The 16,280-nt window shown below is 42.3% G+C and overlaps 2 long non-coding RNA genes across 6 annotated transcripts in view; both read left to right on the plus strand.

Moving 5' to 3' along the window:
• Positions 1-7,494: 7,494 nt before the first annotated feature.
• LOC127898557 (uncharacterized) overlaps positions 7,495-16,280 on the plus strand; it is a 140,693-nt gene continuing 131,907 nt past the window's right edge. Inside the window, exons 1-2 of the long non-coding RNA NR_183042.1 lie at positions 7,495-7,753; positions 8,038-8,160. This is a non-coding gene — a long non-coding RNA (uncharacterized LOC127898557). The remainder of the gene's footprint in view (positions 7,754-8,037; positions 8,161-16,280) is intronic.
• LOC105377488 (uncharacterized) overlaps positions 7,495-16,280 on the plus strand; it is a 33,739-nt gene continuing 24,953 nt past the window's right edge. For 4 of the 5 annotated variants that reach the window (NR_183034.1, NR_183038.1, NR_183037.1 and 1 more), the window contains exons 1-2: positions 7,495-7,753; positions 8,038-8,160. This is a non-coding gene — a long non-coding RNA (uncharacterized LOC105377488). The remainder of the gene's footprint in view (positions 7,754-8,037; positions 8,161-16,280) is intronic. The other variant, NR_183036.1, reaches the window with a different exon arrangement.

Consider the following 16,280-nt stretch of genomic DNA (forward strand, 5'->3'; position numbering starts at 1 on the left):
TCAAAGACCCCCACCCCTTTTATGAACAGAAACAAACCAACAAAACACACACATATTGAATCAAGAAAAGATCAGAAGAAAATACGTTAAAATATTCACAGTGCTAATCTAAAATGATGGGATCCTATTTTCTTTTTTGTACCAATATGTATTCTAAATTTTCTACAAGGCATGTACAATAAAATTATTAAAAAATTAAACACCATCATTTGCCTTTTAACACTGCATCTGGTTTTGAGGTCATCCAACAAAACAAAACAAAAATTTCCCAGAACTCCGGAAAGTTAAATGGAGCTCAGAAGCATGGAGTCAGGTGGGATGTGATGGCAGGCCAGGCACATGCCTCACCCCTTCCCAGGTGCCCCACTGTGTAGATGGCCATGACAGCTAGCTGCAGCTCAGATAACAAACCAGAGAGAGAGAGAGGCTTTTATTTGAATTGTCAGCCTTAGCCTTGAGATACAGTGCAAGTGGCTTTAACAACCAAATCACATCTTTGCGAACAATGTCACAAAGATAGAAAAGGAGCATTATATTTTTTATCTCAAAGATGTCCTGAATAAAGTACACTTGGTTCCAATTTCATCTTGAAAGTGCCTCACAGATCACAGTGACAGCCTTTCCGGAAGAATCGCTGATACTGGGTTTACCTTGGTTTTTTTCCACTCAGGGTGAAGAAACTCTGCATTTTTATTAGCACACACCCAGCACAGATCCATTATTATTATTTACCGTTTTAAACGTCTTCTTGGTTCTGATGGATTTCTTAGTTCAGGTAACAGAATATCCTGGCCTTTGAGAATGCAGATGGGACAGGTGAGCTTTAGCAAGGATCCCATCTAACTAAACACACCACAATATCACCTACCATCTGCCGCAGCATATGCTTAAAAGGCATGGTTTACAAACTAAATAGTAAAATTCAGGTTTCCATGGCCCACACGATCTGCAGTATAAAATCTTAGCTGTATTTTTAAAGCCATCAGGAGCCAAAGTAATGATGACTTTTTGCAGGTCTCTGGCACCAGGAGGGTTTGTTCACTAAAAGGTCCAAGCAACCTGGAAGATGGAACCCGGCTGCTGGAAAGGGGCATGCCTGACTTCTCCCTCCTCCCCGGTAGGAGCAGGCCCATGGCATGCTGAGCATCTAAGTTAAAGGCCCCGCAGAAGGCCACACTGTCAATAGTCTTGAGTTGATCCTGGAGTTTTTAAGGCCAGGTCCTGTTTGGTTTGGGGCTTTACCTTAACCAGGGGCCAAGAGAAGAAATACAGGAAAGTGCAAGGCAGGGCCATGCCCCTCCTGAGAGGGAAACTACTGAAAATGATGTCAGATTGCAGACAAGAGCACAGGAAAAACCCCAAGCACAGTCTCCGTGGAGGTCAGTCTCGCCAAGAGCCTGAGACAGCATCTTGGTGCCTTGAGCTTCCCAGGGAAATCTGACACAGGCAGAGGAGGAAAAGAAAAACAGAGGAAGTGGATCGAAGAAGGAAGGAGGAGGGAGTTTCACAGGCCTTTCCAAGTAAACTGGGAATTGTTGAGCACAGTGATAGTGCTCTATGGTTCTACTGCTCACAGCTCCCAGAATGATGGTGGGTCAGAGAGAGGAAGGGTGATAAGAGGAGAGACAGGGTGACACGCTTTCCCCTAACAATGTGTACACATTGAGCAGCAGACACATTACACCTTCTGTTGACTCAGGAACCCTTTCATTCTAACATGGGTTCTTAATCTTCTCAAAGTACCCATATTTCTGAGCTATCTTTTAAGATTTTCACTGATAGACCAGGCATGGTGGCTCATGCCTATAATCCCAGCCCTTTGGGAGGCTGAGGTGGGAGCATCGCTTGAGGCTAGGAGTTCAAGACCAGCCTGGGCAACAAAGCAAGGCCCCTGTATCTACAAAAAAAAAAAAAAAAAAAAAATAGCTGGGTGTGGTGGCAGGTGCATATTGTCCCAGCCATTTAGGAGGCTGAGGTGAAAGGATTGCTTGAGCCCAGTGAGCTAGCATCATGCCACTGCATTCCAGCCTGGGCAACAGAGCTAGACTCTGTCTCTTAAAAAAAGGATTTTCATTGATGCCCGTTAAGTTTTGGTGTGTGAGTGATGTTGTAAATAACACTGTTCTGGCCCTAGTGGGGAGAGGATCATAGCTACCTAAACTGGCCATATGAATCTTTGGAAGTGTCCTAATCCTGTGGTCCCCGTCCTATTTTGTATACTTGCAAAAGATATCCAGAATCTGACTATATCATATCAACCACTCACTGGCTACCACCTTGATCCATGGGTAGCAGCCAAACTTTCCCACCTGCATTCACTCTAAAGCCTTCTAACTGGTCTCCCTGCTTTCACTTTTGCCGCCTAGCCCACTCCAACTATTCCAGACAAAGCAGCCAGTAATGCTTTGAAAACATTGGTCATGTCAAGTCACCTGTACCCTGCGTCATTGTAGGATATGGCCCCCCAACCTCTCTGACCTCATCCACTGCTCTCCACTCAGTCACATCCAGGCTCATTTCCACCTCAGGATCTTTGCATTTGCAGTTTCTCATCTAGATATTGGCACCCATCAAGTCTTTGCTTAAATGTCTCATTTCTAGCAAGGTCTCCCCTAATTCTCTTTAGAATTGCACCCCTGCTTCACCTTCTCCGGCTCTTCTCCACTTGATTTTTCTCTGGAGCACCTAGCAGTTCTCACTTGAAAAATACATCATTTACTTATTTTGCTTCCTCTCCATGTCCCCCAATACACTAGAATAGAAGCTTCTTGAAGAGTTTTAAGTCTATGTTTTTCACAATTGTATCCTCAGTACCTAGAAAGCTGCTTCACATTTAGTAGGTGCTCAAAAATATTTGTGAATTGAATTTGCTCGTTTCTTCCAGAAGTCTTGTGGGCACTTTTCTTATGTACAGTTTTATATATTTAAAGGTCATGCCTGATTGAAACAAGAAAAACATTTGTAAAATTTTACACACACTGTCTGGAAGCTGTTCAGCAGTCTATATATGAAATAGGCTATAAGTGGCAGCCAAGTGTCCTGTAAACAGAAATCCACACAAGGTGACCCACGGTGGCTCATGCCTGTAATCTCAGTGATTTGGGAGGCTGAGGGGAAGATTGCTTGAGGCCAGGAGTTTGAGACTAGCCTGGGCAATAGAGCAAGACTGTCTCTACAAAAATTTAAAAAAAAAAAAAAATTAGCCAGGCATGGTGGCATGCACCTGTAAACCTAACTACTTAGGAGGCTGAGGTAGGAGGATCACTTGAGCCCAGGAGTTTAAACCTGTAATAGTGAGCTATGATCGCACCAATACACTCCAATCTGGGTGACAGGAGAGACCCTGTCTCAAGAAGAAAGAGATCTACACAAGAGAACCTTCTAAGTCCTTGATGTTCCTTCTTAAATGGAGTTTTAGCTCATTGGGTGAGGAAAGTGTATACGTCTTATCATTATCTAGTTTGTGTCTGGTGCTAGAAAAATGTTATTGTCCCTCCAATAATTCTTTCTAACAGACCACTTTTGAATATCCTAAATTATTTTAAAGTGAAATAAAATAAAGAAACATAAAATGTAGATTTGATGCCAGATCTATCCAAGCCCATCTGTATACTTGTTTATTTTTCAAGAGGCTTCTTTCATTAGAAATTTGGACATAAACGATGAAAGCTTATTGGATTGTTTTTGGTCATGTAGTTGAAAATGGCTGTGGTGGGACAGTAGCTTTAGAGGCTTTTCAAGGGTATTATCCAGTACTTTTTCTGATCTTGTGTACATGTACCAGCCCTATTGGCTAAACATCCATAATTATTCTCTTGACTTTTCTTTGTGAATCGATATTGCTATTGAAAATAACATCCCTGAAGACAGAGCAAGGTAATATTCATTTTTTAAAAAGCTATCTTATTATGTTTACCTTGCTGTTAAGTGTATTTCTTATTTAGCCTAGAAGTGCTGTAGTGTGGCAAAATATTGTAACTTACATAATGATTGTAATTTAAAAATGAAAACCACTAGGTATCTTTTCTTCTTTGCTTTGGTTTTGCTGGCTGTATGATTGTTCTGGCTCTATCTGTAAACACACATAAAATGAATAACAGTAAATGAATTACAGAGGTATAATTCCATTGAGGGTTCTGTAAACAGCTTTTAGCCTCAAGAGCCAAGCTCTTACAATCTATATCGAATCAGAATTGCAAGACAGAATTACAGCTTTGTTACTCAAGGTTTGCTTGTTGTTAATTTTATCGAGGACATAAAAGCTAATATGAAGCATCTGTTGCATCCTTGGCCCCTTTAAGAAACCTGTATCCATGGCAGCTGATATCAGGTAGGAGGAATCCTCATAGGGTATTATAAAAGAGAGAGAGAGATGTCTTGTTCCTTGAATATCTCTTTGACACTAGATCCCTGTAGTGGGAGGGTTGGGATGAATTTCAATCTGTTCAATCAACTTGTAGTGATTGAGCTCACACCGTTGGCAGGTCCTGTTCTAGATGCTGGGGTTACAGCAGTGAACAAATGAAGCGAAATCCTTCCTGCCCTTTTGGAGTACTTATAACTACAACTAAATCAGTACATGTGACAACCCATTTCACACAAAACCAGCTAAGGAAAGATAGTTTAGGAGGGCCTTCAGGGCGGGGGTGGGAGTGTGTTCTTTTAAATAGAATGGTTAAGAAAGATTTCACTGATCAAACGGTATTTGGGCAGAGACCCCAAGGAAGCATGGGAACAGTCCTGATGCAGGTCTCTGGGGGAAGAGCCCCCAGGCACAGAGGGCAGCCTATGCAAAAACCCTGAGACAGAAGGCTTGGCGGAGGGGGCAGCAAGGCTAATGTGGCCAAAGTCAAGTGGGCGGAAAGGGAGTGATGGGGCATGAGGTCCCAGAATATTTGGGGGACTGGATCTTAGATTGGCTTTCTAGGTCAAGGGAAGGCTTTGGGATCCTCTGACAAGAATGGGAAGCCATCAGAGAGTTTCAAGCCGAGAAATTACATTTCGAGAGGATCATTTGGCTGCTTCATAGAAAACGCATAATGGGGAGGCAAGGGTTTAAATAGGAGAGTAGTTATGCTACTGTACAAATCTAGGCAATAGATTAGAGTGGCTTGGAAGAAGGTGGCAGGTGGAGGCGTTAAGGTGGATTCTACTTTTGGTTATATGCTGAAGGTAAAGCCAACAGAATTTGCTGACATATTGGATGTGGGATCACTTCACAGTCTCATTTCCCTGGAATTGCTACAAGGTACACAAAGATCTTTGAGATTTCTCCTCCCACCTGCTTTGGCCTTGATGATAGGTGCTCAAATATTGGTCATATTTGGGGTTTGCATCTTCCTTTGCTTGTTTTTGCCCTGGGCACATATATAGCATTTGCCAGGGCACGAGAACATGATTCTGCTGCCAATTCTGTTTTCTGAAACTGAACTTTGTGCTGCCACTGCAGGGCGTTCCCACTAAAGCTCAGCAGTTCTCCTGGATACAAGAACAACAAACATTTCCATTCTTCCATACACCATCACCTCTTTGCATTCATTATTCCTCCACCATCATCTTAGATGTCTCTTTCCTTCAAACTCTGCCCAAGCCTGAACTGCTTCGTGTTTAGACTGATGCAATCTTCATCCTGGTTTTTTTTTTTTTTCATGCTTCCAGAAAGCTAGCAGCTAGTAGCAAAAATTATCCTTATCCATCTTTGTTTTTATCATCTCAGATAAGTACAAAATCCCTTTCAGTTTTCTGTCTAGGCTTCCAATTCACTCTCCTTCCACTGTACCTCCCTCCTCCCCACCAAATTTAAGTTGATTAGCACATATTCTCATCCTTATTATTTTCATCTTCAGCACATATTTATATAATTTTGGATTCACTCTGGCAAACCACTTTGAGAACTGTGAGCAAATAAAGCAAGCATAGGGTCTGAACTGGGGAGAGGTTTTTCTTTTTTTCCATTGTCTGGTCAATCCTGCCTAGTACAAGAGAACTGAACACAGTAAGCTTTACTGTAATAGCAAACAGCACTAGGAGGGGTAACTCTTTACCCTGCAAATCTTCATTTTTTCCTTAGTGCAAAATAATTGTCATGTTCATCATTTATGCAACCTATCAAATATTTCTGGCTGTGTGCCTTCTGATGCACAAAAGAGGATTGTACTTCTTGGCCCCTTTTTGGTTGGATGAAGTCATGTGATGAATTCTGGCCAATGACTTGTGAGTGGAAGTAATACAATTTCTCAGCCAGTGCATTTAATTGCCAGAATAAGAATCTAGTTCCTTTCCTCTCTTGGGGATGTTGGTGGTGACTTCTAAGATGGTGATCTGGATCACTGATGGTGGCCTGGGTTACTGAGTTACTCTGGGGAGCAGATTCTTTTGACAACCTGTGGTGGATATGCAATATGAATGAGAAACCCTCATTTTTGCCACTGATATTTTAGGGTTGTTTATCACTGCAGCATAACCTAGCCTATCCTGGCTGATATATTCAGGTCATCTCATTCTGTGATAATTACTTGAGTTTTCAATCCTGTTAAATTGAGAACAGGACCTCAGGCAAATAAGGATTTGGATGGATGTAAAGGACTAACTTAAGTTAGATGCCAGAATGGTCTATTCTGGTCATGGGAGGCCTAAGGATGATGGTACTAGAAAGGGGGAAAGGGTTGCAAATGGAAGAAGTAGAAGGACCCTGAAGGCAAAATGAAAAAATAGCTGGAGTTTATCTAAGATTGGTACTGTGGTCTCATACAACTTCTCCATAGTGACAGAAAAGAGATTTAGTAATCTCTAACACTTGGCCTAATCCTAGATGCCTCCCAGCTGGGGGTCGCATTTGGTCAGGAAGGAACTTCCATGGTGACAAGAAGACAAGGCCAGAGGTACCACTTTGGAGGTTTCATAACCTCCAAAGGGGATAGATAACATGACTCATTTTCCCAGCTCTATTGTGGTTATTCAAATAAGTGACCATAGTCAATGTCTGTGAGCAGCTGCTGCAAGGTCAGGAGAACTCACCAAGACCTGATGCTGTTTCAGTATCACAGCATGTCAAAGGAATGATTTCTAGCTTCCTGTAGACACCATTAGCTAAATTGCAGTATCTGCTTCTCTTATCGTCTTTGCCAGGGTCATTGTTTCTTGCACTGAACCTCGGAGGAAGGATGAGGAGAGAGGTAGGTGCCTTCTGCCTCCCTCTCCTTTGGTATGAAGCCTGCTGGAAAAGAAGCCTGCTGTTTAGAAAGTTGCTTTGTTTCTAATTGGCATGAGGAGGCTTGAGAGAACCTCTACTTTTTGCTTGTGTTATGATTTTGTGACAGTGGGAAGTCAATCTTAGAGCATTTACAGCTCTCCCGAGCTGTCAGTAACTCAGAGACTTCAACTCCGATCAAAACCTATGACTAAAAAAAATTACCATAATCCAGTGACAGGCATGAAGAGAAAGCCATAATAATACTGATAACAATGTGCCAGTTAAGAGGCTATTATATTTAGTGCCTTACTTCAGCACAGAGAAATCGTCTCAGAGTTGCCATTGATATAACCAGTGCCTTGTTAACAGATGTGACCTGATCTTTGCAGGGCCTGTCTCAGATACTTACCTGTATATACCTGTGGGAGGAAGAAGAAAAAGGTGTGTCCACCTAGAATAATTTGTTTGCTGGAAGTTCTGTTGTTGGCAGAAAATGGAAGCTACAAACTAGTGTGGTTATCAGCAGGGAATGGGATCAAAGTTTCAGTCCAACAAGTCCAGGTAATTGCCCGAACCACACTGAAAACTCTCTTCAGGGTCCTCTAAAACACTCTATGTTGTATCTTTTGCACCAGAGCTGTCCTCTCCACGGTCATCCAGGAAACTTCTTTGCCACTCTACCTTGACTTTGGACACTGAGTAGTAATACCACATACTCTGATCTCATTTTCTTGGGGCCTCTGTAGGGGACTCCAGCTGTTTGATAAGCCCATTTGAGTTAAGTTGTTAATGCAGCTAATGGTGTAAGGTGTGCCCTTCTGACTCATCTATTTGCATCTTAACAGGCAACTTTCAGCTTGAAGGCCAAGGTGTTACTACTTAGAATTTAGGGCACAGAAGGCTGGTGTGTGTCGGCAGTGATATTTGGGAGAATGAGTCTGTTTGGGAGACACTTTAGGTCATACCAGGTAAGTAGCATATTCCTTTGCCTATAGATATAGGGGGAGTGATACAGCTTTCTATTTGCATTCTGGGACTCTGTGAATCTCTTCAGTTCTTTAGAATCAGTTAAAATGCCACCTCTTCCAGACACCCTTCCTTTGTGGAAATGGGATGCATTGCTTACTGGCCTCCCCTCTGAACTTACTGTACACAGCTACAGTACACATAATCTGAATATACTTGGAGGAGTGCACATACAACTGTTATTTAAGCAATATAGGCAGTCATGTGTCATAATTCTGTATGACTGAATAACAATAGTTACTCCACCACCAGGCTAGTGAGCCCTTTTGAGAAACCGAGTTCTCTTTTGGAATAGAGATTTCAAGTCTAAGGGGCCTCTCTATTTACCAACTATAGATATTAAACTGTATTAAAGATGATTAATACAGTTATAGGTTGGGAGTAAATTAGCTATACCACCTTTTATCATCCCCACAAGGAAAAGGGTCAGACCTTTGACATATAATACAATCCTTGCAACCTCTGTTTTATAGAATCATACTTGTATTTCTTTTTTGGCTATCTATTTTCTGTGTAACAAACCATCCCAAAACTTAGTGACCTAAAACAATAACCAGTTTATTTGCTCATGATTCTGCAATTAGAGCTGAGCTCAACTTGGTGGTTCTTTTGCTGGCCTTGCCAATGGTCACTCATATGACGGCATTTAGCTAGCTGTACAGCTGTGGCCTAGGCTCAGCGGGAATGCTGGCATGGCTGGACCTCACTCTCTCTCTCTCTTTCTCTCTCTCTCTCGTCTTGAGAACTCAGGGGCCTGGACTTCTCCAAATGATCTCTCCAGCAGAGAGGCTGGACATCTTCTATAGCACCTCAGGGCTCCTAAGAACGCGGAAGTAGGAGTTGCCAGGTCTTATTAAGACTGAGTCCTGAAACAGGTGCAGCATCACTTCCACTGCACTCTCTTGGTTAAAGCAAGTCACATACCCAACCCAGAGTGGAGTACATGAGGTCCTGACTTCCAGGAGGTGTGTACACCAGGAGGGGTGTTTCACTGGGGGCCATCAATGTAATGAACTGTCATAGCAAGTGAGGCAGAGCATTGATTCTAGCAATTCTTTTAGAGACTCTGAGACCCTTGGAGACAGAACTGTAGAGATCATCTAGCCCAACTCATTGAGGAAACGGAGGTCCTGATGACTACTGTCCACAGGGGCCGTGTGGATGCTCTGGGTTTTCGCTTAAAGAAGTGACAAGTTAAGGAACCATATATATTTTGTAGAGAAAAAGGTCTTGAAATGGTAGTGGCCAATTTTCAAAAATTTCAAATACATAGCATATCCCAGAGAATGAGGATATGCTATATTTTTAGACAAAGTATGCTAAGTCACTACTGATCAAACAATCACTGGAATGACTTGACAAGAGGAACAGAGTGCCACTTATCTGAATTCTCAGCCAAATGGGAGGATGTTTCTTTTCCTTTATAGGCTTATTGTTAAAAGGTGTTTTGTACAACCGAATAATTTCCCTCTAAAGAAATAAAAGAAATCCTGGGAACCAGTAAGATTCATGACTCCTGCAAAATCCTAAATTTCCCTCAATAATTTCCCTTTTCTAAAAAGAAAAAAAAGTCGCTGGATGACCAAGATTGTTCTAAATTCCTGGGTTGGTATTTAGGCTCACGGAGTAGTTTCTTCAGTTGAGGTTTCTGAGCATCTTCTCAGGAAGATGGCGCTGCCTCAGACTTTCCCAGCACAGTGCCCCTAGTGGCAGAAGAGAAGGTTGCGTGCTGCTGGGCTCTAGCTCTAAATGTACCTGAAAATACTTTTTCTTGAATTCTCCTCTTAATCTTTAAAATTTATGTTAACCTTTCCTTCTGCTCTATGATATATTCATAATTGTTTTAAAATAAAATATAATGTTTTAGATTATTCATCACTTACGGGGATAGTCAAGGCTATCCCCGTTTCCCCCTCCCCTCCCCTCCCCTCCGTCTAATTACTGGACATCTTTGAAACACTTGACAAAATCAATTATTTTTTAAATTTTAGATTAAATTATTTTCGGCAAACGTTTTAAGTCCCTCCCCTTTGACCTCCGTGGGACGAATATACAGTCATATACTACATAACAACCTTTCTGTCAACAACAGACCACATATAGAATGGTGGTCCCATAAGATTATAATGAAGCTAAAACATTCCCACCACCTACAGAGGTTGTAGCCGTGGGAAAGTCGTAGCACAATGCATTACTCACGTGTTTGTGGTGATGCTAGTGTAAACAAACCTGCTGTGCTGCCAGCCACATGAAAGTCTAGCATATGCAATTATGTACAGTATGTAAAACTTGATCATAATAATAAACTATGTTACTGGTTTATATATTTACTACACTATACTTTTAATCGTTATTTTAGGGTATACTCCTCCTACTTAGAAAAAAGTTAGCTACAAAATAGCCTCAGGCAGTTACTTCAGGAGCTATTCTAGAAGAAGGCATTGTTAGCATGGGTGATGACAGTTCCATGCTGCCCCTGAAGACCTGCCAGTGGGACAAGATGTGGAGGTGGAAGACAGTGAGATTCATTGTCCTTACTCTGTGTAGGCCTAAGCTAGTCTGTGTTTGTATCTTAGTTTTTAACAAAAAAGTTTAAAATGTAAAGAAAATACATAATTTTAAAAATAGAAAAATGCTTTTAAAATAGTATATAAAGAAAATATATTTCTCAGACATTGGTACAATGTGTTTGTGTTTTAAGTGTTATTACAAAAGAGACAAAAAGCTTTTAACAATTTTAAAATGTATAAAGTAAAATAGTTACAGTAAGCTGAGGTTAATTTATTATTGAAGGCTGTAAGTTAATTTATTATTTTCTAGATAAATGTAATGTAGCTTACGTCTACAGAGTTTATAAAGATTACAGTAGTGTGCAGTAATGTCCCAGGCCTTCACATTCACTCACCACTCACTCACTGACTCACAGAGCAACTTCCAGTCCTGCAAGCTCCATTCATGGTATAAATGCCCTATACAGGTGCACCATTTTAAATTTTTTATAGTGTACCCTTACTGTAGCTTTTCCATGTTTAGGTATATGTAGACACCCAATACTTAGCATGGTGTTGCCACTGCCTACAGTATTCAGTACAGTATCATGCTGTATAGGTTTGAAGCCTAGGAGCAATGGGCTATTTCATATAGCCCAGTGTAGTGGGCTATACCATCTAGCTTTGTGTAAGTACACTTGTGTTAGGCCGTTCTTGTGTTGCTATAAAGAAATACCTGAGACTGGGTAATTTAATAAGAAAAGAGGTTTAATTGCTCATAGTTTTGCAGGCTGTACAGGAAGAATGTGCCAGCATCTGCTCAGCTTCTCGGGAGGCCTTGGGGAGCTTTTACTCATCTATTTTTATCAGCTGACTGAACACGTCTAAGCAAATACTTGGCGGCACCTCAAAGTTAAGTGTCCAAAACTGAACTCATTATGTTCTCCACAAAATCTGCTTCTCCTCCTGTATTCCCAATCTTAACACAACCATCTTCCCAGCCACCCATGTTAACAACTTTGAGGATATATTTGACCTCTCCTCCTCATTTCCCAAGCCTAGTCACCAAAATCCTGCTGAATCTAGTTCTAAAACATACAGAAAAACCTTTTAGCTAGTCCAGGACCACACCATCTCTTGCTTGGGCTTTGCTTAGCTCAGGTCACTATAACAAAATACCATAGAATGGGAGGTTTAAATAATAGACATTTATTTCTACAGTTCTGGAGACTGGGAGGTCCAAGATAAAGATGCAGAAAGACTTGGTTCTTGGTGAGGGCCTTCTTCCTGGCTTGCAGACTGTTGCTTTCTTGCTGTGTCCTCACATGGAGGAGACAGGATGTTCTGGTACCTCTTCCTCTTCTTATAGGGGCATTAATCCCATCATGAGGGCCCCATTTACCCTCTTGACCCCTGCTAAACCTAGTTATTTTCCAAAGTCCTGCCTCCTAGTCCCATCACATTGGGGGTTGGGGCTTCAACATATGAGTTTGGGGAAGATACAAACATTCATTCCATAACAGACTTTTACACTGATGTCCTAAATTTCCCTCTCACTTTCAATCTTTTCTCCCCTCATCTACACAGCTTTCAGATTTTTTTTTCTAAAGTACAGTAATGGCACATTGCTCACTTGGGTAAGTTTTCAGTAGCTCCCTGTATTATTTAACCACGACATTTGCAGCAAGGCAGAATCAGGCCCAACCCATCCATTTCATCTCCAATTATTCCTTCCTCTGGCCCCACCCTCTCTTCTTTGTTTCTCTTTGCTAATACTCTTTCCTCTGCCTCTTTCTGTGCGGCAAGGCAGATGATACTCATTTTTGTTTCTCGCTCACCTCAAATGTGATGGCTTTCATGAAGTCACCTCCGCAGACAGAATTAATCATTCTCTTATCTGTGATTTATGGGTCAGTGGTTCTTAACATTGGTTGCATATTAGAATCACCTGGTGTATTAGTTAGAGTTCTCCAGAGAAACAGAATCAACAGAATGTATGTATGAAAGAATACACAGGATAGATATTTATAATAAGGAATTGACTCATGCAATTATGGAGGCTGAAAAGTCCCAAAATTTGCGGTAGGCAAGCTGGAGACACAAGAGAGCTGATGTTGTAGTTCCATTCCAAAGGCCAGAAGGATCAAGACCTAAACAGAGCCAATGTTTCAGTTCAAGTCCAAAGGCAGGAAAAGAAAACAACAACAACAACAAAACCCAGCATCTCAGCTTGACGATAGTCAGCCAGGAGGAATTCCCTTTATTCAGGGGAGGATCAGGCTTTTTGTTCTATTCAGGCTTTTCACTAACTGGAAGAAATCCACTCACATTGGAGAGAGCAATCTGCTTCACTCAGTGTATCGATTTGAGTGTTAATCTCACCCCAAAACACTCACACAGACACACTCATAATAATGTGTGACCAAGTATCTGAGTACCCTGTGGCCCAGTCAAGTTGATATACAATTAATCATTACACCAGGGAAACTTAAAATATACACTGATTCTGCTGGGATCCAGCCCAGGGCTTTTGTGGTTTCATTGGTCTGGGGATTTTTCCTGAAGCCAGGGGAAAATTGCCAACTAAATTTTCATATATATGATTACATTACATATGTAATTACATTACATATATTATGTTATGTGTAATATAATTATATGTATATATGTATGTGTGTATATATATGCTACTATATATATATTATATGTGTGTGTATATATATATATCTTTCAATAGAGTGTGGAATCCTTAAAGGCAGGGTCTGGACTTAGCCATGGTTATCTCAACACCGGCCTGGAAATTGAACCACACTGTGGCATAACGGTTATGATTATGGTTATGGTTATGTTATGGGTTGAATTATGTCCCCCCCAAAAATTGAAGTCTTAATCCCCTATGCCTCAGAATGTGACCTTGTTTGGAAATAAGGTTGTTGCAGATGTAATTAGTTAAGATGAGGATAATGGATGTAGATAAAAGATGAAATACTGGAGTAGGATAGACTTCTAGTGTCCTTATAAGAGGAGAAGAGACACTGAGACGCACAGGGAGAATGCCATGTGACAATGAAGGCAGAGATTGGAGTTGGTAGCTATAAGCCAAGGAAAGCCAAAGGTTGACAGCAAGCCAGTAGAAGCTAGGAAGAGGCAAGGGTGAAACCCTATGGGTTTCAAAGGGAGCACAGCCCTGCTGGCACCTTGACCTAGGACTTCTGGCCTCCAGACTGTGAGAAAAGAATACACTTCTGGTGTTTTTTTTTTTTTCTGAGACGGAGTCTCACTCTGTTGCCCAGGCTGGAGTGCAGTGGCGCGATTTCGGCTCACTGCCAGCTCCGCCTCCCGGGTTCACGCCATTCTCCTGCCTCAGCCTGCCGAGTAGCTGGGACTACAGGCGCCCGCCACCATGCCCGGCTAATTTTTTGTATTTTTGGTAGAGATGGGGTTTTGCCGTGTTAGCCAGGATGGTCTCCATCTCCTGACCTCGTGATCCGCCCGCCTCGGCCTCCCAAAGTGCCGGGATTACAGGCGTGAGCCACCGCGCCCGGCCCTACACTTCTGGTTTTAAGCCGCTGAATTGTAGTACCTTGTTAAGGCAGCCCTAGGAAACCAATCAAATAACCAGTAAGAGTGAAGCTGTGCTTGCAGGAGAGGGGGGTGCACTAAATTTATGGGAAGGTAGAGTGGGATAAACAAGAATTGGTCATTCTTTCACTATGGTGTGAGGAAGGAGTGTTTTGAGAATTACTTGCTTATTTTTCTGTTTGAGCTTTAAGGTTTGGGATTTTCCACATGCTGGTGATCTTGAGATATATAATTGAGTCCCTTGAGTTGAACACCTTTCCAGAAATGATCACCCGAACTGATAACTGTTCTCATTTCTCAAGCTACCCATAGATCTACTAGAAATTAATACGCAGACCCCTGGCTTATCCATTTCTCATTTTTTTCACTAAAGCTTGATCAACTCAGGGCTCATTCGTCAGAGCACATTTCTGGATCTGTAAGATCTGGGATGAGTCAGGGGCTCACCAAGGTCATTGGGAAGCACTGCCTGCCCAGCCATCTGCCCCTCACTCTTTGACGTCTCTTTAAATTAAACACCACATCCCGTGGTAAAATTGTTCTTGCTCTATTAATAGCCAGCTTGGCTCGTGTTGCACTGAAAATCCACGGAGGAAGGGTGTCAGAGAGAAGAAAAAGGCTACAGACCCAAGGGCACATTTCTTGGTCAGATGACTCCAGTCTCTGAGGAATCCCAAGAATTCTCTGTGTAAAATGCCTGGGCCTTCTCCTCCGCTTCTCCTGTGACTTCTTTTTCTAAGATCTCATCAACCAAAGTGAACTTTCCCCTTTTCCTTCCCCAATATTTTCATGCTTGAATTTATTTTTGATCAGGAAATGCTACAAGGTTACTTTAAGAGAAGTATCCAAACCCCTTTCTGTGGACTCATGAGACATTTCTAACTTCATCCATGTCATTACTGAATTAAAATGGAAACCTTCCACTCCCAGTTGTTACTGATGCTTTCTGCAGCCGCATCTTTATAAAATTGTGATATAATTTTACAACTGATTGGCCTACAATTTTATAGGGCTGCCACAAACTCACATCTGCTCCCCGAGATGGGCCCTGGTAGCTTCCTAACTTCTCTCTGTACTATTTTCTCTAAATTTCCCATCCTGGCCCTGACCGAGTGCTCTTTCCTTCTGCTGGCTGCCACACTTGGGTCACCTCCTCACGGCTGTCACCACTCCACAGTCAGGAAGTCCCTGCCAAAGCTTCTCGGGCTATTTTTCAAATGTTTGACCTTTGCCCATTCCTGACGCACCCACTACTCACATTCTTCCTGCCTCCTCTCTCTACACCCTGATTTCTTGGCCTTTATAGTCCCCAGCTCCCTACCCTGGCCCTCATTACTGGCGGTGTGCCAGCCTTTAAATCCAGTTTCATCATCGTGCCCTGTGGTGTAAAGACAGAGAAGTGTCTCTCTGCCTAGGGACAGGAGTTCTTGGCGCCACTAAAGAGGTTGTCTTCTGGTCCCCACCCTTCCATCTTGGAAAAAGCTCCAACTCCAAGTGCTTCATAATGGTGGGGTGTGGCTTTCTTTAGAAAATCCCAGGTGATTTCTCTAAAAGACAGGTGCAAAATGCAGAGGGGATGAGGGTGGAGCTATTCCTGGACTCCTTTTTTTTTTTTTTTCTCAGAAGCTGGTTTTGGTCAGCTTTGATGTTAACCCTAGCATCTGCACAATGTCCTGCTTGCTTAGTTCTCTTCACTGGTGGTTCCCGGGGATAGGAAAAGCAGGCTGGAGAGGCCAGCACATTAGCAATGCACTGGATGTTTAGAGTTGCTCTCCTGTACCCAACCCAGGCCACCCCCTCCCCCCACTCCCCGGGTCTGTGTCCGGGGCTTTGTACAGTGTTGTTTCTCAAAGTGTGGTCTGGGGATGAGCAGCGTCAACATCATCAAGGAGCTTGTTAGAAATGCAGAATCCCAGGTGCCATCTGTGACCTCCTGAATCAGAATCTCATTTTAGCATGATCTCCAGGTAGTTCTTATGCACACATCGCAG

Source organism: Homo sapiens, chromosome 4, assembly GCF_000001405.40.
Source record: "Homo sapiens chromosome 4, GRCh38.p14 Primary Assembly".
In the NCBI taxonomy this organism is placed as follows: Eukaryota; Metazoa; Chordata; class Mammalia; order Primates; family Hominidae; genus Homo; species Homo sapiens.